Genomic DNA, 26737 nt, shown 5'->3' with positions numbered 1-26737 from the left:
TGGAAATGCTGAGTGAGACGGAAAAATGTCTCGAGCAGAGAGGAAGGAGCTGAGTGAGCCTTGGAGACATATAAGGTGCACTTATGGGAGGAGAGGGAAAGAAAACACAACAGCCGTGTGAAAGAACCCACAGTCTGCGGGAAAATGCCACCAAAGGCAGCCCTGGCCTCAGATGGGTAGGAAACGTGCAGGGCCCGGAAGACCGGGGCCAGTGCCTCTGTGAGGGCAGCCCATAATACCTGCAAGTCCGGCATGTAAATCACTCACGTGCATGGCATGTCGCAGAAGACATTAGCCTCTAAGGAAAATCCCTTCCTGACCCACCGGTTCATCTATTTTGTGGGTGTTATTTTTGGAATAATTTTGGGCATAGAACTTGCAGGAATATCATTTGGATATTTTTCTTGAGGCCTAGTGAAAAAAGGATTGGCCAGCCAGGTCACTGCAAGCCCAGAGGTACCTTTTTGAGATTTCCTTTTCATGGCTTACAGGGCCATTGTAAATCCAGGGTAATATTTTTCCTTGCAGGTGAACATATTCATTTTTTGGGTTGTTGCTAGGTCCCACAAAGTCCTAGGAAGTGGCCTATTGTTCAAGATTGGGAGGCAAAGGCATATAAGTAATGACATTCTTATTAGAGTTTTGATGAATGAAATGCAATAATCGAGTTTCTTTTGCTCTGCCTATGGGGCCCACAATTGTTAATCTATAACTTGCTATATGGATTCAAACTTATTAATCATTTTAAAGCAAAATTCCATTTAATGACTGAAATAGAAAATGAGGCCTTGATGAAATGAAATGTCAGGCTGGCCCCATTGTTCTCCCCAGTGGATGCCAACTGGCAGATTCTTGAACTTCCTTGCCAGAGGGGGTTTGGAGGAGCTGAGGCTGTTGAGACAGGGGAAGGTGGGTGGAGCTCATGGGTGAAGTGTCATCTCTGCCCCATGCACAGGCTCCAGGTGAGACCTCTGGTGTCTCCGCATCCGTGTTAGCAATGGCTTCCTTGGAGGGTGGGCCTCGCCCCTTTTACTGCCATGGTTTGCCATCAGGACTAGAAAGCTGGGCTGAAAAGGGTTCAGTCTTCCTGGACAGAGACCATCAAGAGAATTCTAGTTTCTTTTCTTTTTCTTTTTTCATTTTTTTTTTTTTTTTTCTTGAGATGGAGTCTCTCTCTCCCAGTCTCCCAGGCTGGAGTGCAGTGGAGCAATCTCAGCTCACAGCAACCTCTGCCTCGCGGGTTCAAGTGATTCTCCTACTTCAGCCTCCTGAGTAACTGGGATTACAGGCGCCCACCACCACATCCAGCTAATATTTGTATTTTTAGTAGATATGGGGTGTTGCCATGTTAGCCAGGCTGGTCTCGAATTTCTGACCTCAGATAATCTGCCTGCCTCCACCTCCCAAAGTGCTGGGATTAAAGGCGTGAGCCACTGCACCCGGCTGGGAATTCTAGTTTCTTATATCTGTAGAGCTCTTTAGGATCTGTGAAATATTTTTACAGCTGTGTCCCATGTAACCTCACAGCATTCTTGGGAGGTAAGTAGGACTGGTTTCTTGGCCCCTTTAAGATAGGTGAGTAAATCGAGGAACAGGGTAGCAAAGTGACTTGGCCATCACCAGATTGAGAACTCCAAGCCAGGTCTCTTCACTTGTAGTCTAGTGCACCTTCCTACCCCACAGTGCACCAGGCTGGGCCCATCCAGGGACTCCAGCCTCAGTCCCTGGAGAAAGGAAAATGGACCTGCCTCTCTTTACAATGGGCTTGTGCAACAGAGAAAGTCCTGGTCCTGATGGTTTGCAAGAAGTGGGTATGGCTTATTTGGTTTCTTGCCTGTCTCTACCACTAGAAAGTGAGGAAGTGAGTGGAAGAAGGGACATTGGTCTGTTTTGTTTACTGTGTTTCCCCAGTGACTGAAAGAGTGCCTGGCACATAGTATGTGCTCAATAAATATTTGATAAATGAATTAGTGGATGAACAAATGAATGAAGCAACCTATCTCAGGACTGAGGCTCCTCCATATCCAGACAACATCTAATAGTCCTTCTCTGGATCCTCAAGACCCTTCTAGCTCTTTCCTCTCTGAGAGGTTCTATGCACAGGGACCAAGGATCCCTGCTTAGAAAGCAGAATCGGCACCTGTCAGCACAGCCTGTCCTAGAAGGGGAACCCCCTGCTGCGACCCCATCCCATCTCATACTTCCCAGACATTCTATTCTTCAACACTTAAAAAAAATCAGCACAATATTGGTTTGTCTATTTTTTGGAATCAAATCAATCAATACAATTATTCTGCAAACATTATTTGAGCAGTACCTCCGTGGCGGGCCCTGCACTTGGCTCTGCAGGAGCTGCCGGGAACAGGCTGGGCCCCCTTGTGCCAGGCCCGCATGTGCAGGAGCTCTGAGGTCACAGAGGGAGAGAGCCACGGCCACTGCCAGCCTAGCCCCTTTCCCCAGAGCTCCAGCTGTCTGCGTTGCATAACACTCTACCTTCAGTTTAGTGGAGTAAAACAAAAATGACCATTTATTATCATTATCTTTCATGGCTCTGAGGTTGACTGGTGCAATTAGGTGGTTCTTGTCTGGGGCCCCTCATTTAATTTTTGACAGGCAGTGGCTGGAGTCACCTTGAAGACCTCTTAATTCTCACATCTGGTGATTTAAGTTGGCTGTTGGCTAGAACCCATGAGGCTCTCCATGTGTCCTGGGCTTCCTCACAGCATGGCCAGTGGGTTCCAAGAATAAGTTTCCCCAGAGAGCCAGGTGGGAGCTGTATCATCTCCTGAGACCTAGGAAGTCACTTAAAGTCACCACTGCCTTGCTCTATTGATTGAGGCAATCACAAAGACCCACTCAGGCACAAGGGGAAGGCACAGAGATTTCACTTGATGGAGGAGTGGTAAGGCCTCACTGTAAGAAGAGTCCGCAGGATGGAACAAAGTGTGTGGCCATTTAGGCCAATCCAATCTGCCATACCCAGAGATCCTGGGGCGGAGAAGGAAACTTTGTTCCTTTATTTTGTTTCTTTCTTCCTTCCTTTCCTTCCTTCTTCCTTGTCTTCATTCCTTCTCTCCTTCCTTTGCTTCTTCCCTCCTCCCTCCCCTCCTCCCCTCCCTTTCTCCCTCCTTCCTCCCTCCCTCCTTCCCTCCTCCCTCCCTCCTTCCCTTCTTCTCTTCTTCCCTCCCTCTTTCCCTCCTCTCCCTCCTATCCTTCTTATTCCCTCCTTCCTCCCCCATCCCTCCCTCCTTCCCTCCTTCCTCCCCTCCTTCTCTCCTTCCTTCCCTCCTTCCTTCCCTCCTTCCTTCCCTCCTTCACTCCTTCCTTCTTTTCTGCCTTTGCTCCTTCTTCCCTTCCTCCTTCCCTTCCTTCTTCTTTTCTTCCCTTTCTGCCTCCCTCCTTCCTTCCTTCCTTCCTCTTTCCTTCCTTTCTTCTTTCCTTCCTTCTCTCCTTCCTGCCTCCCTCCTCCCTGCCTGTCCCTGCCCATGCTAAGTCCAGGCTGGGTGGGAAAGGGCTCTTTTTCACCCAGTTTCCTGAGATAGCTGCCAGGTCCATGTGGCTGCCAGGTCAGCATTCAAGGCAGGAACCATGGAGACCTTGTCTCCTCAGCTGTCAAATCAGAGTAAGAGGAACAGCACAGGCCTTGCCTTCATGATATGATTGTTGTCATGAATGTAGGGGCCAGAAATGGCAGAATATTTAGAGTCTGGCAACCTGGTGGTTGTGAATCTCAGCTCTTCTCATCCTAACTCTGTTCCTTCAGGACAACAGCAACTCTAATACTAAGTATTTGTCAGGCCCAGGTGCTAGTGAAAGCTCTTCATGTGTATTTTCCTACTTAAACTTTATAACAACCCAATAGGTGGATATCTTGTTGCCATTTTTGTAGATTAAGAAACAGAGGCTCAGAGAGGCTGAAACACTCATCTCAGGTCACACAGCTAAGTGGCAGAGCCAGGCCCATCTTACATGAAGTTTGAGCTGCGTTCTTCCCCCTCCCCACTGAGCTACGCACGTGGACACGGGGCTTCCTCATCGAGGATTACTGGGCTTATTCACACCCACTGTCCGGGCTCGTTCTGAGAGAGATGGGGCGAAGTCACTTTGGAAGAGGTCACAACAGATGTCAGCCAGGACAGCCAGCTCTGTGCAGAGCAGAACCAAGGCCCCAGAGCCTTCGGAGCAGCCCATTTGCAGGCGTTCCAGCAGTTTGCTGCTGCTTGCCTCTCCTCTCCCCACCTTTCCCCTGCAGCCTCAGTTTCTTGGTCCTCTGGGCTTTCCAAAGCAGCAGGGCTGGCAGGCTCCTCACTGCCCCCAGCAGGAGAAGTGGCCTGGAAAAGGCAACAGTATGAACGGCCATACTGAGTCGATCATATTTGCCAAGCCCCTGACCCCCCAAAGTCCTCGCCTTGGTCAGCTCTCAGGTCAGTGTCCTCTGCCAGTCCTTCTAACCTGGCTCCCCTCTTCTTCACCCCTCGGCCTTCTCCTGACACACTGACCTTCCTCTTTGCCAAACCTTTCAAGTTCTCCTCCTCTCAGGGATTTTATACTTAAACTTCTTTCTGCTCGACCCCAAGCCCCCTAGCCATCCTTCACGTGGCTCTCTCTGCTTTTATATCACCTCCTCCATGCAGCCCTCCTTGATCACCCTGCCCAAAGTAGCCACCCTTATGCCAACTGCTTCAATCTCTTTACCTTGCTTTACTTTCCTTCATGGCTCTTATTTTTATTCCCACCTAAAATTATGTTTTTATTATGTTTACGTCTTTCTCCCCCAACTGGAACTCTCGGGTCAGGGAGAGTGTCTATTTTGTTCACTTCTGTATGTCCAGCGTCAACAACATTGCCAGAACATGGTAGGATCCCCCCAAATATTGCTGAGTACATAAGTGAATAAAAGAATGAAAATCTCCCTCTCAAAACTGACTGAGGCTGTATAAAGGAGTCAAGGACCACCGCAGTCAACGAGAGGAGAGGGCTCTCCAGGAAGTCACACAGTGGGAGGGGCAGGGACAGACGGGTAAGGAATTGGTGGTGGCAGCAGCTCAGCAGCCCTGCCTGAGGACCCCCACAGAGCTGGAAGACCACCAGAGGCCTCATCTATTTCTGATGCCGGAGTCATTCCTTGGCCGTGGAAGAATCGTAGGAGTTAAGTAAGGAATTGGGAGTCACATGCCAGTTCTGCAACTTGTTAGCTTTGTGCCAGTGAGACAATGAATTAACTACTCCCAGCCTCAGTTTCTCCTTCTATAAGGTGGTGTGGAACACAAGGCAGCTTTTGTGAGGATCAAACAGTAGGTGCATATCAAACTCTTAGACTCGGTGGATGTGCCTGTCTGTCACAGAGGCCAGCCTCATACTCACTGCCTTGGTCATCTGGGAAGCAGGACCTGAAACTCAAAGCCTCATCTCTACCTGAGGGGATGGCATTTGCTCATCAGAGTATGTTTTTCTTTCCTTTCATGTTTTACAAGAGTTTGTTTGTTTCAGGGGGAAAGCACAAAACCTGCCTCAGAACACCTGGGCAGGGTCTCAACTCTGCTGCGGAGCCCTGGACCCATCACTTTGCCTCTCTAAGTCTTGCCTTCCTCATTGCACTGAGATGAACAATGGTGCACTGTCCCCTACACACACCACATTGAATTGCATATTAGCCCTTTATACTTAAAATTCTGCATCTTTCACTGGATCTTAATTTTATATTTATTTCCACAAAATATAAATTTGCTTTTTATAAATATTTCATATATATGTCTATCTATCTATATTTTATAAATCATTATATCTACTTCTAGAATCTCAGATATTTACATATAGAGGGGCAGCAGGGTGTGAGAGTGAAGAGAGGGGACCATGGAATTAGAAAGTGTAAGCTCAGATCACTTCTGTACTTCTGTCATCAACAACAGTGCCAGAACATGGTAGTTACCTCAAAGGACCCCAAAATATTGCTGAATATGAATGAATAAATGAATGAATGAAAATGAATGAATGAAGTGGCTCTACTGTTTACTAGAGGTGACCTTTGACAGGTGTGTTACCTTCTTTCCACCTCAGGTTTCATCATCTGAAAATGAGAAGGTATGAGGACCTACCTTGTAGATTTGTTTTGAAGAGTAACTGACAAAAACCACGTGAAGTTGTGCATTGGACTTCATATCAGCATTATTTGTAACAGCCAAAAGGTGGAAACAGCCCTAATGTCCATGAAATGAACAAAATGTGGAACATACATGCAACAGAATATTCTTCAGTATTCAAAAAGATGGAAATTCTGACGCATGTTATAACACAGATAAATTTTGAAGACATTACGCTAAATTAAATACACCAGTTACAAAAGGACAGGTATTGTAGTATTCCACTTACATGAGGTCCCTAGAGAAGCCAAATTCATAGAGACAGAAAGGAGGATAGGGGTTGCCAGGGGCTAGGAGGAGGGGGAATGGGGAGCTGTTGTTTAAAAGGTAAGGAGTTTCAGTTTTCAAGGTGAAAAAAGTTCTTTGGATGGATGATGGTGATGGTTGTGCAACGGTACTAATGCACTTAATGCCACTTAACTGTACACTTAAAATAGTTAAAATGGTAACTTTTATGCTATTGTATATATGCATATAAAAACATACAAATAAAATATAAAACCTATATAAGATACTCACTGTGGTGCCTGGCATAATGAATATTAGGTTTAAAACTAAATAAATGAAATAAGATACCCTTTGCAAGAATGAGTGATATCAAAGAGCTTTAAAATCTGTAATGCGCCATCAAAATACATCATGTTCCCACCATGCTTTACCTGCATGGTGAATTCTAGTGGCAGTGGATCGCACCCAATGTGACGGTCAGTCACTTCTGGAAAGGCTTCCTTTCCCACCACTTCCCTGCACATCAGCTTCTCGGCCTCTCTGCTGATGGGCAGTGGATGCCCCTAGAAACCGATGCAGACAGGTGTTTGGGCATCCCACTGTTGACGGGAAACCAGAAGCAAATCATCCTCTAATTTGTTGGCCAATGAGTCCGGATCTTCATGATTCATAATTTGTTGGATGTTGTGTTTCAAAGCAAAGCTCAGCAGTGTGTGATTTTGGTAGTGTGGGAGAGAGGGCTTCTCTGAGTGTGGGGAATGTGGGGAACGCAGCCAACCACCCAGTCTTCGGAAGACTCGCCAGTGTTACTGCTGATCCCAGTGCCGAAGGCGGGTTTGCATTTCAAGTCCCATGTCCACTGAGGAGGGAAAGTGGTCTGGGCTCTCTGGCCAACTTAAGGGAGATCAGAAGTTCTCTTATTTTTAAAAGATCCTATCCCTACTTGCCTCAAAAGGTGCTGCCACATCCGCAGTGGCACAGGGCTACTTAGGCTCAGGGATTGGCCCTGGGGTTTAATAATGTCCTTCTTTTCCTCTTAGGCACAGCCCAGGCCCAGGAGGCAGGATACCTGGGTCCTGCCCTGCCACCTGCCATCACCATCTCAGGAAACTTGCAGAGACGCATCTAACTGCCCTGCCCCTCAATCTCTGGTACTGCAAAACTGGGACTCATTGTTCAGAGGCGAGGTGGGTTGAGGAAAGGAGAAGGTGCTGGTGATGAAGAGGGCCTTGGAATGAGAGTTGGGGTCACACTGGCCACAACTTCTCCCATTCTCTGCTTGAAGTTCCTTTATGATTGGAGAGGCTGGCAAGTGAGGGAGGCAAGGCCATCAACTCTGGAGTCCGATGGCCCAGGTTTCAGATCCCAGTTCTACAACTTACTGACCTGTTTCAGTTTCCCCATCTGCAAAAGAGATTAAAAACACAAAACAGGCCGGGCACGGTGGCTCACGCCTGTAATCCCAGCACTTTGGGAGGCCGAGGCAAGCAGATCACGAGGTCAGGAGATCGAGACCATCCTGGCTAACACGGTGAAACTCCGTCTCTAATAAAAACACAAAAGAATTAGCCGGGTGTGGTGGTGGGCGCCTGTGGTCCCAGCTACTCGGGAGTCTGAGGCAGGAGAATGGAGTGAACCTGACAGGCGGAGCTTGCAGCGAGCGGAGATCGCACCACTGCACTCCAGCCTGGGAGACAGAGCGAGACTCAGTCTCCAAAAACAACAACAACAAAACCCTGCCTGCCTTGTGTCATTACTATGAGGATTAGCTAAGTTGATTTTTGTTAAGCAATCCACACAGTTCCTGGCACATAGTAAACCACAGGCGAGCGCATGGTTTCCTCGTCCCTGTTGCATTTGACAGAGGACTTGCCTTAGCGGCGAGCTCTCTCTCCCCTGATCTGTGCAGCTCTGGGATGTGGCCTAACAGAAACAGATCTAAAGGGCTGGTGGGGATTGGGTGGAAAAGAGATTGTGAAACAATGATCAACACAGAAGCTGCCCTGGAGATTTTCTAAAAGGTTCTCGCATTCCTTTAATTAACTTCCATGAGGGGAGGACAGAAATCAAATTAATAAGTCAGGAAAGAATGCTGACATTTAGGGAAAGAAATGAGCTTTGATGTCAAACAATCTTCAGTTCAGATCGACTCTCTCGCTGTGTGGCTTTAGGAAAGCTGTTTAACCCCTCTGAATCTCACTTCCTGTATCCAAAAAGTGTGCATAGCATTCCTTTCCATTCAGGGATCCTGTGAGAATTAAATGAGATGACGTAAGTCAGTATCTAGCTTAGCCCTGTTGTCTTAAATTGAATACTCCTACAAAATTTTGCAGCTCCTCCTATCAAGAGGTGGGGTTTATTTTCCCATTGCTGAATATGGGTTGACCTTGCGAGTGGTGTTGACCAGAAGAATGCAGTGGAGGTGACATCATGCAAGTAGACCTTAAGAGACAGTGCAACTTTCACTGGGGCCGTCCTGAAGCACTGCCCAGAAACCTCAGATCAGGAAATTGGTCTAGCCTTCTGGAAGACAAGAGTCCCCAGGGAGGAGCATCAGGGTTTCCAGTCAAGTGTCCCAGCACAGCTGCTAGACATGCGCCTGAGGCCATCTTGGGACCTTCCAGCTGAGACAAGCAGAAAATCACACAGCCAACTTAACAAAATGTAAATCAATTCTGGTTGATTTAAGTCGTCAAGTTTTGTGGGGAGGTTGTGTTATATAGTAAAGCCCACTTGAAATAGCCCTCAATATAGACTGGTTGAATTGAATAACTGTAGAAGTGAAAATCCCTCGAAAAATACAGCACATGCTTTTAAGCACAAGCTGCTATTATTATTCATACTGACTAGTTAGAATAAGAATACAATAAGAGGTAACAATGTAACAATCGTGGTTGTTTGATGACTTCTTATTTCCTGTCCCTTGGGAGAAGACCACAGTCAGTTGGAACAGCCTTTGACAGGCTCAAATAAGCAGCAACCTTCTTTGCACACAAACATTTTAAATCTCTCTGTCTTTTCCTGTCTGTAATAGCTCTGCATCGCCTCACTGGGCCACCTGGGATGGTGCCACAACTCCTATTAATATTGCCATACGTGGCAGCATTGCACTCAAGTCCCACGCTCTCAGCTGCCTGTGTGTGGCACAGAGCCTATTTTTAGAGTTTTACATCTATAATTATGTATGTTTCACTGCCTCTCAAATGCATATTTGCTCTGGGGAGAGGTTATGCTTATGTAATCTCAGCTATTTTTGATAGGACAAAATGTGTTATACAAACCTGCTAAGTCTCATTCAACCAGAGCAAACAGTCCAACAGTCTCTTCCTCACTCAAACTCCCATGTAAGCAGGGATGATACTTGAGACATTTTGAGTACTGGTAAAACATTGTCACTGACAAATCAGAACAGAACCAGCCATTACATCACATTGGTGTTTACAGCTCTGTTCTTAAGGGCCAGTTCAGACTACAAATCTATTCATGATTTTTACAAATTAACGTTCCCTGCAAGGAAACAAATCAACTGGGAAGGGGAGCTCAGTGTGATCCTGGTGTTATCCGGATGACATCAGCCTTGTTGACTGCCTGGATCAGTTTCCCAAGGTGTCATGTCCTTGGCCAAGAAGTTTTTCTAAAGGAGTTTTCTAGCTCAGAAGGAAGAAGAACTGGCAAAGTCAAGACCAACTTGGTGGGCCTTAGTGATGGAGATCTGGGGCCCAGGCCTAGCAGATGAAGCAGGTGACCTGGGGAGGCCCCCACTGTGGGGATGCTGCGGAGATCCAAACAGGGAGAAGGGTGAGGGTCAAAGCAGCTAAGCAGCTGACGGTGGGAAGCAAGCCGATAGGGGCAGGATCCCAGGCCTGCTGAAATCAGGAGATCTCAGATGCCCCAGGAAAGGGGATTCTGCCTAGGGGAAACACACAGTCTTTTACTCATTCACTTACTCACTCATTCATTCAGTGGACATTGACGGAAGTGTCTACTGGGAGCCAGATACTGCCCTAGTTGCCAGGGAAACAGATAAAAACTTCTAGCTTACTTATAAGATATCGGTTTTTCTCTATGTATTAAAATGTTTAAGTAGCAAACTTAGAAAATACAGAAAAGAATAAAGGAGAAACCCCATCTTCTGGATTGTCATCTTTTAAAGACCATCCTTGTTAATGTCTGGCTTATCTCCTTATTTGTACATGGTATATGCTTTTTAACCTCAGAATTGGGATTGTATCCTATAAACTATTGTTCACTCAGTATTATATTTCCAGAAGCTTCTTACACCTCTAATAGTTTTTCTGAATATGACTTTTAATGGCTGCAGAGAATCTCATTTTGAGGACTTGCTATAAATTATTTAAGGTCCCTCAATTCTCATCAATGTTGTCTCCAAATAAAAAATTTTATATCCCCTTAAAATTGTCATTTATGGCCGGGCATGGGGGCTCACGCCTGTGATCCTAGCACTTTGGGAGACTGAGGTGGGCAGATCACCTGAGGTCAGGAGTTTGAGACCAGCCTGGCCAACATGGCAAAATCGTCTCTACTAAATATACAAAAGCCAGGCGTGGTGGCACATGCCTGTAATCGCAGCTACTCAGGAGGCTGAGACAGGAGAATCGCTTGAACCCCAGGAGGTGGAGGTTGCAGTGAGCCAAGATCACATCACTGCACTCCAGCCTGGGCAACAGAGTGAGACTCCATCTCAAAAAAAAAAAAAATTGACATTTATGTGCCACAAAAACATGCCACCTAGTAACTTCATGAGAAGTGAAAATAAATAGAGTAGTGGTCTCTTCTATTTGAGAAGTATATCAGAACACAAATGAGTGAAAGTTATAGTACTATATCAAATAACCTTAATTTGCTCTAGTTTGTACAAAAATTTTCAAACTTCCATACTTTTTCATACATTATTTTCATTGTTATAACTAGCAAAATGATAATAATTGTCATTGGCAAGATTCCAGAGAAATGAACACTTATATATTTCTATTGAGAGTTCAAATTTCACTGTGTTGAAAGATTTTTAAATGCTCAGACCCAGCATTCACCTTCTAAGAATTTATGTTAAGGAATTAATATTAAAGATGTGTACAAAGATTTATGAAAAACAATATTTATATCGGCATTATTTTTGTGCTTAATACATAGTAACTTCTAAAAATGGAAGCTATAATTACCAGTACTAGCATCACCAATTCCTTTTCCAGCCCCATCTGGCTTTTAGAATAAGAATATTATAATTAATACATTTTTACATTGGGCTTCATCTCTTTCCAGAATTATTTTTTGACACTTGCATTGTTTTATAATCATGTTAACTGCAATTATTAAGAAATTAACTTGAAATTTTTGGGTTCTCTGTTAAGCAATGTTTCTTTTATATTGCTTTTTCTCATATCTGAATTATTTATTTTGCTTCATTTTTCAGCCACCTGGAGTGTTTCTTTGATGATTTTTGTTTTCAAGAAGTAATAGTCACAACATATGTTGTTTATGAATCTGTCCCCATAAGATTACCCGCACACTTTCGGAGGGCTGTGACTGGGATTGCAGACACCACCCCAGGAGTGGAAGCACAAAAAAGATTACGAATATACAAGAATGGCACCTTGGCTGCATATAGTCTTAGTTCTCAATCTCAATCCTCTGAAAGTTTTTGGATTTTGATAACATTTTATCTTAGAATTTGCTAAGAAGTATGACCTAGTGCAATTTCTTTCTTTCTTCTTTTGAAGGTAATTTGGGTATTTCTACCCTCCACCCTAGAGGACTAAATGATTATAGGATTCTAAATTTTTTATCCTTGAAATGCAAACATTTTAGCCATGTATGCATCGAAGAACTCTTAGAGAGGATAGCAGATCTTTTCTTAGAAGGCCATACAGCTTTCTAAGTAGGTCATAGGGTCTGTAGTGGCCAGCATGCAATTCTGCTGTTGTAGCAGAAAAGCCGCCAGAAACAATGTATAAATGAGCAGGCATGGCTATGTTCCAATAAAACTTTATTTGCAAAAGCAGGTGAACAGCCTGCCGGGGCAGTTTGCCTCTAGATTCTACAGACACAAATCTTGCTTCGGCTCAGGGGAATTTTCTGTCATATCTTGAGTTATTTTTTCTCTTTCATTTGCTCTGTTGCCACCATTTAAAATCTTACACAGAGTTGATCTGTAGCTGCCTTTCTAGCTTCCTCTTTCCTTTTTCTTTCTCTCTCTCGTCTTATTTTCTCCATTTCTTGTCGTCTTTTCACTGATTCTGGGAGGATTCCTTGAGCTCACTTCTAAATTCACAGATTCTGTCTTCTGTTCTGTTCAATCTGCTCTGTATTGCCCTAACAACACTAGAACATTTCCATGATTATGCTTTTCACTGGGAAACTGTCTTTCTGGATTTCAGGGATTTCCATTAAAAGAAACAATATCTCTAATCTTATGGGAAATACAAAAATTAGCGATCACTTTTACCCTTGTTTATTGGGATAGTTTTACATCATGAGAGAGTATATGTTTTGATTTCTCAAAATAAGCTCTCTTTTTTAAATCACAGAAACTTTTCCTACCTCTGTTACATTTTCTTTTATTGTATGTATTTGCAGAGGGAAAACTGTTGATCCACTGTTACAACTTGAGAATACTTCTGTTAGAAACTTATTTAAATATGTTACTCACAGAAGGGAAAAGGACTTCTTGGTCTATTCTGCAGGTGTTTTTTTAGTTTGGAGGTTCAGTTGATTATGAGGAGAAGAAAGTGGGTGAGTGGGAAGGTGCAGCAGGAAAATGCACCATTTCCTGGCGGTTTCTTTTCACCCTGTGCAGGCATTGGGGCAGCAGCATCCGCAGCCATCTGCAGGGCTTAGATTTGCTCACTCCACTGCTCGGGACCCTCTCCTGGTCGTCCCCATCTAGCCTTTCCAGGAGAGCTCCATTTACTCTCCTATTGTGGCAGGAGGCAGAACTCAACTCTGGAGGTGGGGCTTGGACACCAGACCTAATTGAAGACTAGCTAAAACAGGTCAGGGCCAGAAGCACCTCCCCATAAGACACACCCATCAGTGGGCCATGTCAGTTTACCAGTGCCATGGCAACGCCCAGGAGTTACACCCCACCTTTTCATGGCAACACTCGACAACCCAGAAGTTACCTCCCTCATTCTAGACATTTCTGCATGGACTGCCCCTTATTTTGCATATAATTAAAATTGGTTATAACTATGAGCACAGTGGCACTTCTAAGCTGCTATTCTGGGCACACAGCTTACAGGGCAGCCTGTCTTCTGCTGTACATTGCTGCTTCAATAGAAGTGGCTGTTTAACACCACTGTCTTGCCCTTAAATTCTTTCCTGGGGAGGCCAAGAACTCTCCTGGGCTAAGCCTCAATTTAGGGGCTGGCCTGTCCTGCATCAATATGGCAGGAAGGTTTATTATTGTCCCAAGCATGTACTTCTCTGCCATGACTGTACTAATAGCCCCAAATCAGGGCAGCAAATCCTTGCTTTCATTGAGTCTCCTTAGCAATAGTTGTTTTTTCCTTCCCACACTATTTACATCACGTGAAGCCTGGTGTGAGTGGTGCTCTTGGCTGTTTCCTATCAGGGGCAGTGGGACAATTCCTCAAGTCCTTTAATCTGCCCCATACCAATTACCCTGGGGTCCATGATAGTAAATAACATGAACCCAAGGTTGAGGGGCTTTTGCAGCTCTTGGGGATCCCCTCCACTTCTGCGGGGGCCCTTCCCATGCCTGCATTAGACGGCAGCCTTCATTCAACCACTTTCCTTCTCCATCAAATCCTTTAAAGAAAAGTACTCAAGAAAACCTAGGCAATACCATTCAGGACATAGGCATGGGCAAGGACTTCATGTCTAAAACACCAAAAGCAATGGCAACAAAAGCCAAAATTGACAAATGGGATCTAATTAAACTAAAGAGCTTCTGCACAGCAAAAGAAACTACCATCAGAGTGAACAGGCAACCTACAAAATGGGAGAAAATTTTCGCAACCTACTCATCTGACAAAGGGCTAATATCCAGAATCTACAATGAATTCAAACAAATTTACAAGAAAAAAACAAAAACCCCATCAAAAAGTGGGCGAAGGATATGAACAGACACTTCTCAAAAGAAGACATTTATGCAGCCAAAAAACACATGAAGAAATGCTCATCATCACTGGCCATCAGAGAAATGCAAATCAAAACCACAATGAGATACCATCTCACACCAGTTAGAATGGTGATCATTAAAAAGTCAGGAAACAACAGGTGCTGGAGAGGATGTGGAGAAATAGGAACAATTTTACACTGTTGGTGGGACTGTAAACTAGTTCAACCATTGTGGAAGTCGGTGTGGCAATTCCTCAGGGATCTAGAACGAGAAATACCATTTGACCCAGCCATCCCATTACTGCGTATATACCCAAAGGATTATAAATCATGCTGCTATAAAGACACATGCACATGTATGTTTACTGCGGCACTATTCACAATAGCAAAGACTTGGAACCAACCCAAATGTCCAACAACGATAGACTGGATTAAGAAAATGTGGCACATATACACCATGGAATACTGTGCAGCCATAAAAAATGATGAGTTCATGTCCTTTTTAGGGACATGGATGAAACTGGAAGCCATCATTCTCAGCAAACTATCACAAGGACAAAAAAACAAACACTGCATGTTCTCACTCATAGGTGGGAATTGAACAATGAGAACAAACGGACACAGGAAGGGGAACATCACACTCCAGGGACTGTTGTGGGATGGGGGGAGGGGGGAGGGATAGCATTAGGAGATATACCTAATGCTAAATGACGAGTTAATGGGTGCAGCACACCAACATGGCACATGTATACATATGTAACAATCCTGCACATTGTGCACATGTACTCTAAAACTTAAAATATAATAATAATAAAATAAAGAAAAGTACTCAAGTTTCTAGGTTATCCATGGCTTAGTTTCTAGTGCTGATAGAGATTTTCTTTCTTTCTTTTCATTTTTTGTTTTTTAATTTGGTTATAATAAGGTTTGGAGAGGCAAGGGAAGTAAACAGATAAACTCGAATCGCTTTCTGAAAATGGAAGCCACAGTTTGTTCTTGATTCCTTCTGACAACTTGAATTAACAGACTTGGAAAATTTTCTCTTGCGTCTTGCAGTAACTCAATTCAGTTGGGAGGCACCTGTGGTCCTCCTTGTTGTGAACAGTTCTGTCTTCTCATGCGCCTGTGACTTTTCTTTGCTTCTCTTCACTAACCCATTGCTAGGAGTTCTGTCAGAGATTGTGCGGTTCCCTGTGTGAATAATTCAGGCCACGACGATGGGAGAATGGAATGGATTAAACTGGATGGAGTTCTCTTTGGCTGATTCGAAGATCTAGATGCTGAAGGAAGAAGAGGAAGCTAGAAGAGGCCAGGGTAAGGAGGTCAGCCTGAACGGGAGTGGTGGCAGGAAGTTTGGACTCCCTGCTCAAGGAGTGTTTTCAGTGTTTGGTATTTGCACTGGGGGTCTTTCTATTGTGAACACAAAGCCCAACTTAGAGGGAGGTAACTGAGGAAGGGAAACCGAGGAGTAGTTCTGGTTTCAAGTAGAGCTGAATTTAAAGTCAAAACAACATCCTTGACAATCCAGTTTCTATCGCTTCCGTGTGCTTCCTGCTGTGTTAGATTGATTCTTGGGCTCACTGTAGTGGCCCCTAAAACTTCTGGGTGATAAAGTGGCTACAACAGCTCCAGCCTCACCCCTCCTCCTCCCATCAGCTCAATTCCAACAGCATAGAGCTTGGATCTTTCCCTTGGTTTCCACTAAACATTTTTTTAAATTAATAAGAGCTTTATTGAGATGTAATTTACATACCATACAGTTCACTCACTTAAAGTAAAATTCAGTGATTTTAGTATATTCATGGAATTATACAACCATCAGCACAATCAATTTAAAAAAAAATTCATCACCTCAAAAAGAAACCCCATTCCCATGAGCAGTCACTCCCCATCCTCCTTTCTCCCAGCCCTAGGTAACCATGAATCCACTCTCTGTCTCTATGGATTTGCCTGTTCCGGACATTTCATACAATACGTGGTCTTTTGCACTAGGCTTTTTTTACTTTGCATGATGATTGAGAGGCTCACCTATGTTGCAGCGTGTGCCTGAATCTTATTTCTTTTCATGGCTGAATAATACTCCATTGTATGGATTCATCACATTTTGTTTATACATTCACTGGTTGAAAGATACTTGGTTTGTTTCCACCTTTTGTTTATTACAGTGCTGCTGGGATCATTTGTGTGCATTATGTGAACATTTGGTTTCATTTCTCTAGGGTAGGTATTGAAGAGTGGAATTGCTGGGTGACACAGTTCACCTTTTGAGAAACTGGCTGTTTTCCAAAGCAGCTATACTATTTTACACTCACATCAGCAGTGTCTAAGGGTTCAGTTTCTCCACTTCCTTGCCAGTCTTGTTGAGATCTCTCTATTTGGCTGTAGCCATGCTTGTGTTGTGCAGTCATATCTTATTGTGGACTCCCACTAAACTTTTGAGAGCCTTTCTGATTGGACCACCCTGGGTGGTGAGACCATTCCTGAATCAATCACTGTGTCAAGGTCCATTTAGTGCTGGATTGACCAGACCTGAGTCAAGAACCTCATCCTGGAGATCCTTCCAGACCATGTGGACTCAGAATGAAGAGAAGGGTTGACTCCAAGTTCAAAATCAGAGTCATTACTAGGGTAAGAGGATCTGGGATGCTGGGAAAATGAGAATTCATGTCTACTAAAGCTCAGCCACCAGCAGTCTGCTGGGGCTGTGCCCTGACCCAGGCCTGGTGGAAGTTGGCTTCAGAGTTTAGTCCCAAGGAATTGCTGGTCTGGTCTGGGGGTCCCCTTCACTGTGCCCCTGGCACCATGGCCACTTATCCATGGCACTGACCAGTTTTAGAGGCTTTAGCCCACTCTCACCTCCAGTTTTCACTGCAGCAGGGCTGTTGGTGAGGATCTGCAAAGACAGTTTTGAAATTTCTATCAAACAGACCACTCCTTCCCATTGTGGAAATAATGAATTCTTCAATCTGGCCCATCTGCCGTGTATCTAACAGATGTTCCTCAGACCTCCTGGCCTATAAATACCACCCTTTGCTAATATCCAGTATGGATAAGTTTTTTCTTATTTTTATATACAGTTGGTCATTTTCTGGGGAATCTGGGAGATAGATAGGTATGTGCTTATGTTGTTGTCTTCCCGCACTAGAGAAGTAACTCCAGCGTGCTTCCTGGAAACAGCTTATGACTCAAGCTATCTATTTCAAGACTGGGTTAAAAATGATGCTACTTCTACTAAAAATACAAAAATTAGCCAGGCATGGTGGTGTGATCTTGTAGACCCAGCTACTCAGGAGGCTGAGGCAGAAGAATCACTTGAACCAAGGGGGCAGAGGTTACAGTGAGCCAAGATCATGCTACTACACTCCAGCCTGGGTGACAGAGGGAGTCTCTGTCAAAAAAAAAAAAAAAGGTGATGCTACTTCAAAACACATCATGTCTCATTGGACACTCTCCACATGGTCAATAATATAATAGAAGTCAGGTGTCACCTTCTAAACAATGAAGGTTTACTACATGGTGGGCACTATGGAAAACATTTTCATGTATTACCTCATTTAATCATGAAATCCCCATGTTATTCTCACATTATAGGTAAGGAAACTGAAGCTCAGAGAAGTTAAGTGACTTGTCAAAAGTCACACAGTAAACCACAACGATTCACATGTAGTGCTAAAATTTTTAAGTGACCCTGCCTGCCACTGTGATTTTTCCCATCACTTTATCTGTCCAGACCCTCCTCCAATCCTGCAGAGCCTCCCTGTGAATATGAGAAACCCATCCCCCGACCTGCTCCTTTCTGGTTTGGCCATCATCAGGGTCTGCCTGGCCTCTGGAGTAATCTGCTGTCTGGCTCCCTGACCCCAGTCTTGCTTCCTGCAATCCATCCTTTGCCCTCCAGCCAACATGAACTTTCTCCAGTGCAACACTGATTGTATCACTGCCTGATTCAAAAGGCTTCAAAGCCAAGAGTTGAAAACTCCTCAGTGCAGGGCACGGCCAGGCTCCTGTGATGCTGTCTCTCTTGCTGCCTCCACACCCTCTGCTCTGCTGCTCGTGTGAACCATTTGCAAGTCCATCAATGCACCATGCTGCTTCTCACTTCTGTCTTTGCACCACTTGTCATTTTGTCTTCTTACCTCTGTCCCCACCCCTTACCCCTCACCAGTTTTACTTCTCTGTGCTCTTCATCCTTCAAGGCCAAGTCTATGTAGCAGCCCGTAGAAGAATACACTTCTTCAAAACCACCACCACAGACATAGCCACCAGGCCTTTAGTCAGGGATGCAATGGCCTTGTAGCTTTGAATCACACCAGCCTACCTGGTTGACCTGCTTACTAGGTTGTCCTCAGAGTCAGAATAGAAAGACTGCTATGGTCATCTGGTCGACCCGAAACCCTTTTCTTAATAGAGATCAAAGCTTAACCCATATTCCATATGGCCCAGCTCATGTTCCCTGGACCATTTCAACAACCCAGGCATAAGGAGCCTTGGCCAGTTTTTCCATCTGCAAATTGAAAGGGAATGTTTCTCCCAGATAATCTCCCAGGCCCTTTTCTACTCTAAATTTCAAGATTGCACGTACTGTCTTATCTTAGGGTCTACAATGAGTTAAACATGATCTCACATTTCCCCATCTCTCTCTGTCTCCTTGCCCCTTGTTCCTTGTTTACTTTCGGGGTACAGCCTGCTCCTGGAAAGTCGTCTGGGCTGTAAGGAGTGGTTACTGCACTTCCATTATTCATGAGTCCCAGGGCCGGCAGTCCTGCAGTTGGAGGATTTGAGCCACGGGTCCCCAGCAGGCTGCATGTCCTACTTGAGCAGGAATAAAAGGCCAGGTTGGATGCCTGCAGGAAGGGTAAACAAACCCATACGCTTTCTACAACAAAAAAAGAAAGAACGAATGAAAAGAAATATTGATTATGTGGCATTGAAGTGCCTGGGGCTTTAACAGACATTCAAAATTGGATGCATTGCTCAAGATCAATAGTAGGTTTTATGCTTCTGACCTAAAAAGTACCAGCTCTATGTAATTTAAACACTGACAGCCACAAGGATATCTCCTAGCATCTGGCCTGCTTTCCTCAGGTACCCCGGACACATCGGCTGGCTTCTCTGCAACCATTTTCCTTTTCTTTGTTTTTTGCGCCGGAAGATGACAGTGGATAAATAAAAGGATTATTTTCGGAAATGTGGAATCAACTGCTTCTGATATCATTGCCTGAAATGATAACCTCAGACAGCGGTGTTGCATGGCTGAAGATGGGGAGGTCAGCTCGTTGACAGGAGGCAGGGAACAGGGGTGGGTTTCTGAGGTTGGAAATGAAGGACAGGAGAGGTGAGTGCTTCCCGGCCAACCTCCCAGGCCTGGGGCTATGCTAGGTGCACACAGGTTCTCCCCCTTGTCTTTGTGCCAGCCCATGGGATGGGAGGTGCCCGGTTTACAGAGGAAAAAACACAGTAACTTTCTTGATTGAGTGGGGATTTGGCTGCAACTAAGGGGGTGGCCAGATGATTTCTAGGGGAACATTTGTGTCTAAGAATTTTTATACGTGCATATGCCCACGTATGCAGACACACACTCACACATACTTCTTGTTGGCTGGGGGACAAACAGAAGCAGAAGAGGACAGTCACTGTTATGGCAATGGGCTCTGACGGCCTGAGATTCCATCCTGACTCCATCAATTATTAGCTCTGACTTGAGACCAGTTACTTAGTTTACCTTTCTCTCAGTTTCTTCATATGTAAAATGGAGGTGATAATCATAATTAATAATAATAATATCTACAGTTTAGGGTTCTTGGGAAGATTAAAAGGGTCTCTACAGGTAAAATTTAGCATGGAACAAGCACACGATACGTGTTAACGAACTTTAGTAACCAGTAGGCAGGCAGGTTTGGCAGAGAATGTGGCTGTTTCAGGTTGCCAGGATGCAGGTTGAGATGTTGATTTCAACAGCGAGTCCAGTTCAGCAGGGCCGAGGTGGGCCAACACCCACCCCAACATCCCAGGCACATGCACACAGGTAAAGCATAGCACCAGCCTTTCAGGAGGTAGGTTCCTACCTGTGGCTCCAGCTGCCCTCACCATATCTCAGGCAGTGCCCTTGGGTCCTCACTGGAGCGGGCACCTTAAGTGGGTGAGCCTGCAGCTTTTCTGGGTGCCTGATTCTCTTAACCCCCACCCAGAGACAATCTGTGGCCCTTCTGTGCTGGCTTTGTTTATGGGCACAGAGTGCATATGTTGGGCAGAGTTGTGTAAAGTTCTCTTTCCCCCCCTTAATTTTGTGGCAGGATAAGACAGTTAATCTGTTTTGACATGCTATCTAAATGGCCCTCAGATCAGTGTACGGAAGAAACCATCCATAAGTCATGTCTTTTATACACATGTACTGGTGTGTACAAGAGGGAGAGTTATATTGGCTGCGAGAGGCAGAATAATAATGGCCGTTATTATGGCGATTTCAGGGTCGCCACATTCACTCCACATATCAAATCCTCTTTCAATGAGGCCAGTTCCATCAGCTGTCAGATTCTATTAAATATATCCCTCAGACCCACTGACCAGCTGACAGGAGAGAAACTCAAAACCACACACCCCCCATTAGCATCATAAAATGTGAAGTCAGCTGGAAGGGATGATAACAGAACTGAAAACAGAAGAGATGAAAATCTGCAATGCTCTTGTGTCCTCCTAAATAGAAACTCCAAGAGTTACAAACAGACCCATAAAATACCAAGGTGAAACAACAACAACAGAAACAAAAACATGACAAAGATCATCCTGTTGTATGCTTCATAACATAGAATGGTTCTTTTACCTTTTGTTAATGTGAGATTTGCATAAATGTTTCATGAGGTTAATACAATGCATAAACCAAAACGTTTATTAGGCAACATCTGTGCTGTTTTCCCAGATAATGCAGTGTTTCTTCCAAGTCAATGAAATATAACCTATCATAAGGTTGGGTTGTTAAAATACTTGTGCAAAGGCTGTGATCATATTTTATGCTTTTGCAGATGCTCTGGTTCTACCAGAGAATTTCTTAATCAGACAAGAGCTTAAGATGGCTGGCACCTTAAAAGAAGGTGTAGAGGTTCTCTTGGAGACAGAGCAAGAGAGGAGAAGAAAGATTTCTATGAGTTGACTAGATTTGCTTCTCCATTTCTTCAATCTAGCTTTCTAAATTTGGATTTGTTTGCAGAGATATTCGCTTAATACTTGAAGGAAAAAATAATTAGATCTGTACTTAGAATCTACCAAGAAGCAGAGAGTGGGTCAAAATGCCCAATGACTTTATGCAGCTACAATCCTATCACAATATTGGTTCCATATGGGACTCTTTAAAGGGAAAAACAAAAAAAGTTATGAGACCAATAATTTTTAATGAAATTTGGCTTAGCTCACAAGCAAGTCCAACAGATGAAACAGCAGCCCAAGCTGGAAACATGATTTTTCTTCTTCCTGGCAGGGATGAAAGAAAGCATTGTTTCAATTAAGAAAGAACCTAATAGAGATATGTTTTGTATTATCAATTTTACACAAGTAAAGATTTAGACATTGTCTCTCTCTCTCAACATCTTTGAGGGAGTCCTTCTCTTTCTCTGATGGCTGTGTGAGATCGTTTTAAATGTGGGAGGCTTCCTGACCCTGCTTTTTGGGTTGGACTTTTGATGGAAAGTTTTAGTAAAAAATTGTTGAAAGCTCTTGTCTCCATCAATTTGGGGCAGATTTTGGAGGTAGAGAAAGTTACCAGAAAATGAGGATGGCAGTCTATCTATCACCTATCTGTCTATCTATCTATTATCTCTCTACCTCACTGTAGCATGAGATTTCCCAGTAGTGAAATTTTGGGCTAGATAATTATTTATTGTAGGGGGCTGCCCTGTGAATGGTATGATGTTCAGCAGTTTCCCTGGCCTCTACCCATTAGATGTCAGTAGCATTCTTCCCCCAGTTTGTGACAACCCCAGAAGCCTCTAGATATTGCCAAATGTCACTTGGAAGGTAACACTGCCCACCAGTTGAGTGTTTTAGTATTTTCCATGAAACACTTAGACATTTGTTTACTGCCATATCTGAGTGTCCTGTGTAGGATTATTTGCTTAAGGACAAAGGTAACTTTTTATTTAGGTAGCATCTGAGTCTGCTCATATCTAGTGGCCTAGCTCTGTCTGGGTTGGAAAAACTCCATATGTCAGAACACAGAAGAAGAATACGAGTTGTAAATGGCAGCCCATGCTGCCCATGCCACTGTGGAATGAAATGAGCTACAGAAGGAACCTCTTGTCCAGGTTCCTGCCTTCAGATGAAACAACTAGGCTCAAAGAGAGTTGGTTCAGCCATTACAAGTGTTCAACTGGGGTGGGGGATCTTCCCGGCACCTCCACCTTGTCTCTGCCTTGCGCATCACTCCATTTTATATTTTCTTGAGCTCTTACTGCTATTTGAAATGATCTTGCTTATTTATGTGTATACTTATGCCTCTATTTTCAATTGACTGTCTCCCCCACTAGAATGCAAACTCCATGAGAATAAGGACTTTACTTGCTTTAAGTGGCAATGTAGCCCTTTATACAAACTTAGGGGCTTTAGTGTCAGACTCAAGATCTGCTGCTTATTAGCTACACTGACTTTGGGCAGCCATTTAGCTTCACTAATCTATATTTTCCTTCTCTGTAGAATAATAATAATAATAATAGGATTGGTTCCTATCTGATGGAATTAAATGAGATCATACTTAACACATAATACGTGCTCCACAAATACAAGCTCTTATTGCTCAACCACCATAATTATACCTAACACAGTGGTTCCTGGCATGGAAAGAAACACAATAAATATTAGTGAAGTAAACGAATGAATGAATGAACAAATTCCCTTGTGTCTGTCTCTAATTTTATTTTATTTTTTTAAGATGGAGTCTCACTCTTGTCACCCAGACTGGAGGGCAGTGGCCGGATCTTGGCTCACTGCAACTTCTGCCTCCCAGGTTCAAGCAATTCTCTTGCCTCAGCCTCCCCAGTAGGTGGGATTACAGGCACCTGCCACCACGCCCAGCTAATTTTTTATTTTTTTTTTTTCATTAGTAGAGACAGGGTTTCACCATGTTGTCCAGGCTGGTCTCGGACACATGACCTTAGGTGACCTTAGGAGGACACCCACCTCGGCCTCCCAAAGTTCTGAGATTATAGGTGTGAGCCACCGTGCCTGGCCTCTAATTTTAAATTTCTCTTGTCACAGTTTATAATTTGCTATCAAATCCCCTTTTCTACTTTCACTGGAGCTGGAATGCCATGGTCTAATAGAATATTTGTCTCTAAGCAAGTAATTATAGCAATCATATATCAATAAAATATATATTGGGAACAATATATACCCAATTTTTTTTTTGGTAACATCCCAATTGGTGGTATGTCTTCTCTTAGGAAATATCATTCCCGGCAAAGGACTTCATTATTTTCTGAAATTCAATTTTGTGCTGACCCAGACAGTCTTCTCTTTCTCATGGGTTTGTGGGGAATCTGTCAATGTCCCGAACTAGGGGAAAGTTGGAGAGGGACAGTGGCAAGTGGAGTGCTTGGGTGAGAGGCAGTGGAGTTCTGGAAGGGAGTGGAGTGCTTGGGTGAGAGGCAGTGGAGTTCTGGAAGGGAGTGGAGTGCTTGGGTGAGAGGCAGTGGAGTTCTGGAAGGGAGTGGAGTGCTTGGGTGAGAGGCAGTGCAGTTCTGGAAGGGAGAGGAGTGTGGGTGAGAGGCAGTGGAGTTCTGGAAGGGAGTGGAGTGCTTGGGTGGGAGGCAGTGCAGTTCTGGAAGGGAGTGGAGTGCTTGGGTGAGAGGCAGTGCAGTTCCGGAAGGGAGACGCAGTGCTTTGGTTGCATATGACATTGCTCAGCCTCCTCCCACATCTGAGTGGCAAATCACCATGTGTGAGAAATATGCTCAATCAGAGAAGAAAAAGAGATGTAATTATGTCATTTATAATGAATTCTGAAGGAAACAAAGAATTTAAGAAGGAAAACTCTGGAGACAACCAGAGCTCCGAAGCCTTTCGGATCATCTGAGCTGCCCTGGAGAAGACGCATAGCTGATCAAACATTCGTGCCGATCATAGGAGGCCATCCCAGCCCCTGAGAATGCTCGGGAGGAAGCAGAAAAACTCAGGAGCCCAAGCAAACACAGTCCAGCTTTTATTAAAGAAATTATACGCTCCTCTCAGCTTCCACCCACATCGATAATATCAACTTTTGGACAAATGCATCTCTCTGGGGAACAGGTTCTAAGACTGGCTCCTAATCTTCTTTCTTTGAAGTATCCAAGGGCTTAAAGGCATGTGTCAATATCTAGGGCCTCTGGCCTTTGTATGAGGGGGTTTGAAAGGGTCCTGCTGTGGAGGAGAGTGAGACCACCAGCGTCCACATCCCCCTTTCCAGGCTGACTGTTTCCATTCAGCCAGCCTTCAGCCTCAAGACCACCACCTGCCCACGCTGCAGTAAGAACTCCCTGAGGATCCTGCCTGGTGTCTCATAAAGAGATGGTCACCATGCACCTCCTGTTTTAACACAGGCCATGCTCAGGGGGTCCCACTTTCAAGAACTAAATATTTCTAAAAGATTGATTACAGCACTTGTTATATCATATGATATGGAATACCATTAATTAACTCTTTTGAAAATTATAATGAGAATTGAGTTTATGAATATCTTTGTATATTGTTGTCTTGACCAGCATTTCCCAAGTGTGCTGCTGATGTAACAGCCAACATCTAGTTCCTGTGTATTCTCTCTCAGGCCCTGTGCTAAGCACACGCTTCATCAGATGTGCTCTTCACACCAGCCCCAGGAGATAAGTATTATTATGCTCATTTTACTGAATCCAGATCCCATATTTTAACCTAAGCTTTTGTGGTCAAGTGAGTTTGTAAAAGTCAGAGTTAACCAAGATTAATGGATTTTGTTACTATAGGAATTCTCAGCTTTTTAATATGTTTATATCCATTAGAAATCTCCAAGAGGGAGAATAAAATATGTAAACTTTTCCAAACATACTTTACCATGGAACACTTTTTTCCCCTAGTGTTATTTCCGGGGGTTAGTTTTCTATAGGAACCTTGCTAGGGAGGGTTATGTCCTAAAGAGACACAGACTCTACTTTCTGGATTAGTCACAAGGCTACAAAGTGGATCATTGAATGAGTTTTTAATGAGTTCTTATGTTTCTATAAACTACTTTCAAAACTGCAATATCAGAATTGAAAACTTGATACAGAGCCAGGGTTATACCATGCTGGATATCAAAAGTCATGGGAATAGTTTGGCAGAATTTTCACTGCTTATAAAAACTCTCACCAAGCTCCTTCATTTTACCCTCTAGTTACCAATTTCCTAACTTACAGGATCTTTTCCCAGGACTAGAAGAGATTCTTTCAGCAGAAACTCTACAGCTTACCTGAGAGCAGGGGCTAAACTGTCCATAGACTAAATCTGGCCAGCTGCCTGCTTTTGTAAATAAAGTTTTATTGGAACACATCCATACACATTCCTTTACATAGCGCCTAAGCTGCTTTCACACTATAAGGGGCAGAGTTGAGTAGCTGTAACAGGAACTATACAGACCACAGAGTCTAAAATATTTACTATGTGATCTTTTTCAGAAAAATTTGTCAACTCTTGCCTTAGAGCAACATATTTACAATGATTATAGAGCCTGGCTACAACAGAAAACTTCTTCAGTAGAAGCCACTGCCTAATATACCATAAATTCAATTTGAAGCATGCTATTGCCATGGCTTACCCATTCTTTAAGTTCAGAGATCCTATGTAAAGCATGTTTTCTGCAGAAGGAAAAAGGAAAAAGACACCAGCATCGATTGAGCTGTGATTAGGTATCTGGAATGGCACATATACTGTCCCATTTGTAACAATTTAGATAAGCAGATGGTGACCCCATTTTATGCAGAAGAAGATTAATTCAATGAGGTGAAGTCATTTGATCAAGGCTATACAGTAAAGGATTTGCATCTCAAACTCTGACTCAAAGATGGGTGCTGATTCTATAGAATGGTTAAGAGTGAAACATCTGGAATTACCTGGCCAAGATTCCAATTCTAGCTCGGTCATGAACTAGCTTTGTGACTTATGCAAGTGACATAACTGTGTGCCTCAATTTCCTCACCTGTGAAATGGGAAAGAAAAATACTATTTTAATAGGGTTTTGAGAACTAAATGAGTTAATTCGTGATACCTAGCATATTAAAGGTACTGAGCACATGTTA

At 43.9% G+C, this 26737-nt stretch overlaps 2 long non-coding RNA genes across 2 annotated transcripts, besides 2 other annotated features; one reads left to right on the top strand and one right to left on the bottom strand.

The window, feature by feature from the left end:
- Positions 4207–4708: an enhancer, noted in NCBI's record as "H3K4me1 hESC enhancer chr16:51073355-51073856 (GRCh37/hg19 assembly coordinates)". NCBI's record gives its function as "activates a minimal SCP1, AML or CMV promoter by ChIP-STARR-seq in primed H9 embryonic stem cells {active_cell/tissue: H9 hESC(primed)}" and the evidence as "EXISTENCE:reporter gene assay evidence [ECO:0000049][PMID:30033119]".
- On the top strand, positions 6058–19656 carry LOC107984903 (uncharacterized). The gene is made up of 3 exons (XR_001752172.2): positions 6058–6348; positions 7409–7555; positions 15633–19656. It is a non-coding gene; the product is annotated as an uncharacterized LOC107984903 (long non-coding RNA).
- Positions 8375–26394, bottom strand: LINC02127 (long intergenic non-protein coding RNA 2127). Its single transcript, NR_110913.1, has 3 exons — positions 26257–26394; positions 21876–21932; positions 8375–8616 (listed from the first exon to the last, which is right to left on the bottom strand). It is a non-coding gene; the product is annotated as a long intergenic non-protein coding RNA 2127 (long non-coding RNA).
- Positions 20471–21752: an enhancer, noted in NCBI's record as "VISTA enhancer hs79". NCBI's record gives its function as "enhancer in: neural tube[8/13] | hindbrain (rhombencephalon)[10/13] | midbrain (mesencephalon)[13/13]" and the evidence as "EXISTENCE:transgenic organism evidence [ECO:0001131][PMID:17130149]".
- Positions 26395–26737: the final 343 nt, after the last annotated feature.

Source organism: Homo sapiens, chromosome 16 (genome assembly GCF_000001405.40).
Source record: "Homo sapiens chromosome 16, GRCh38.p14 Primary Assembly".
In the NCBI taxonomy this organism is placed as follows: domain Eukaryota; kingdom Metazoa; phylum Chordata; class Mammalia; order Primates; family Hominidae; genus Homo; species Homo sapiens.
This window is presented reverse-complemented; position numbering and strand designations above follow the sequence as displayed.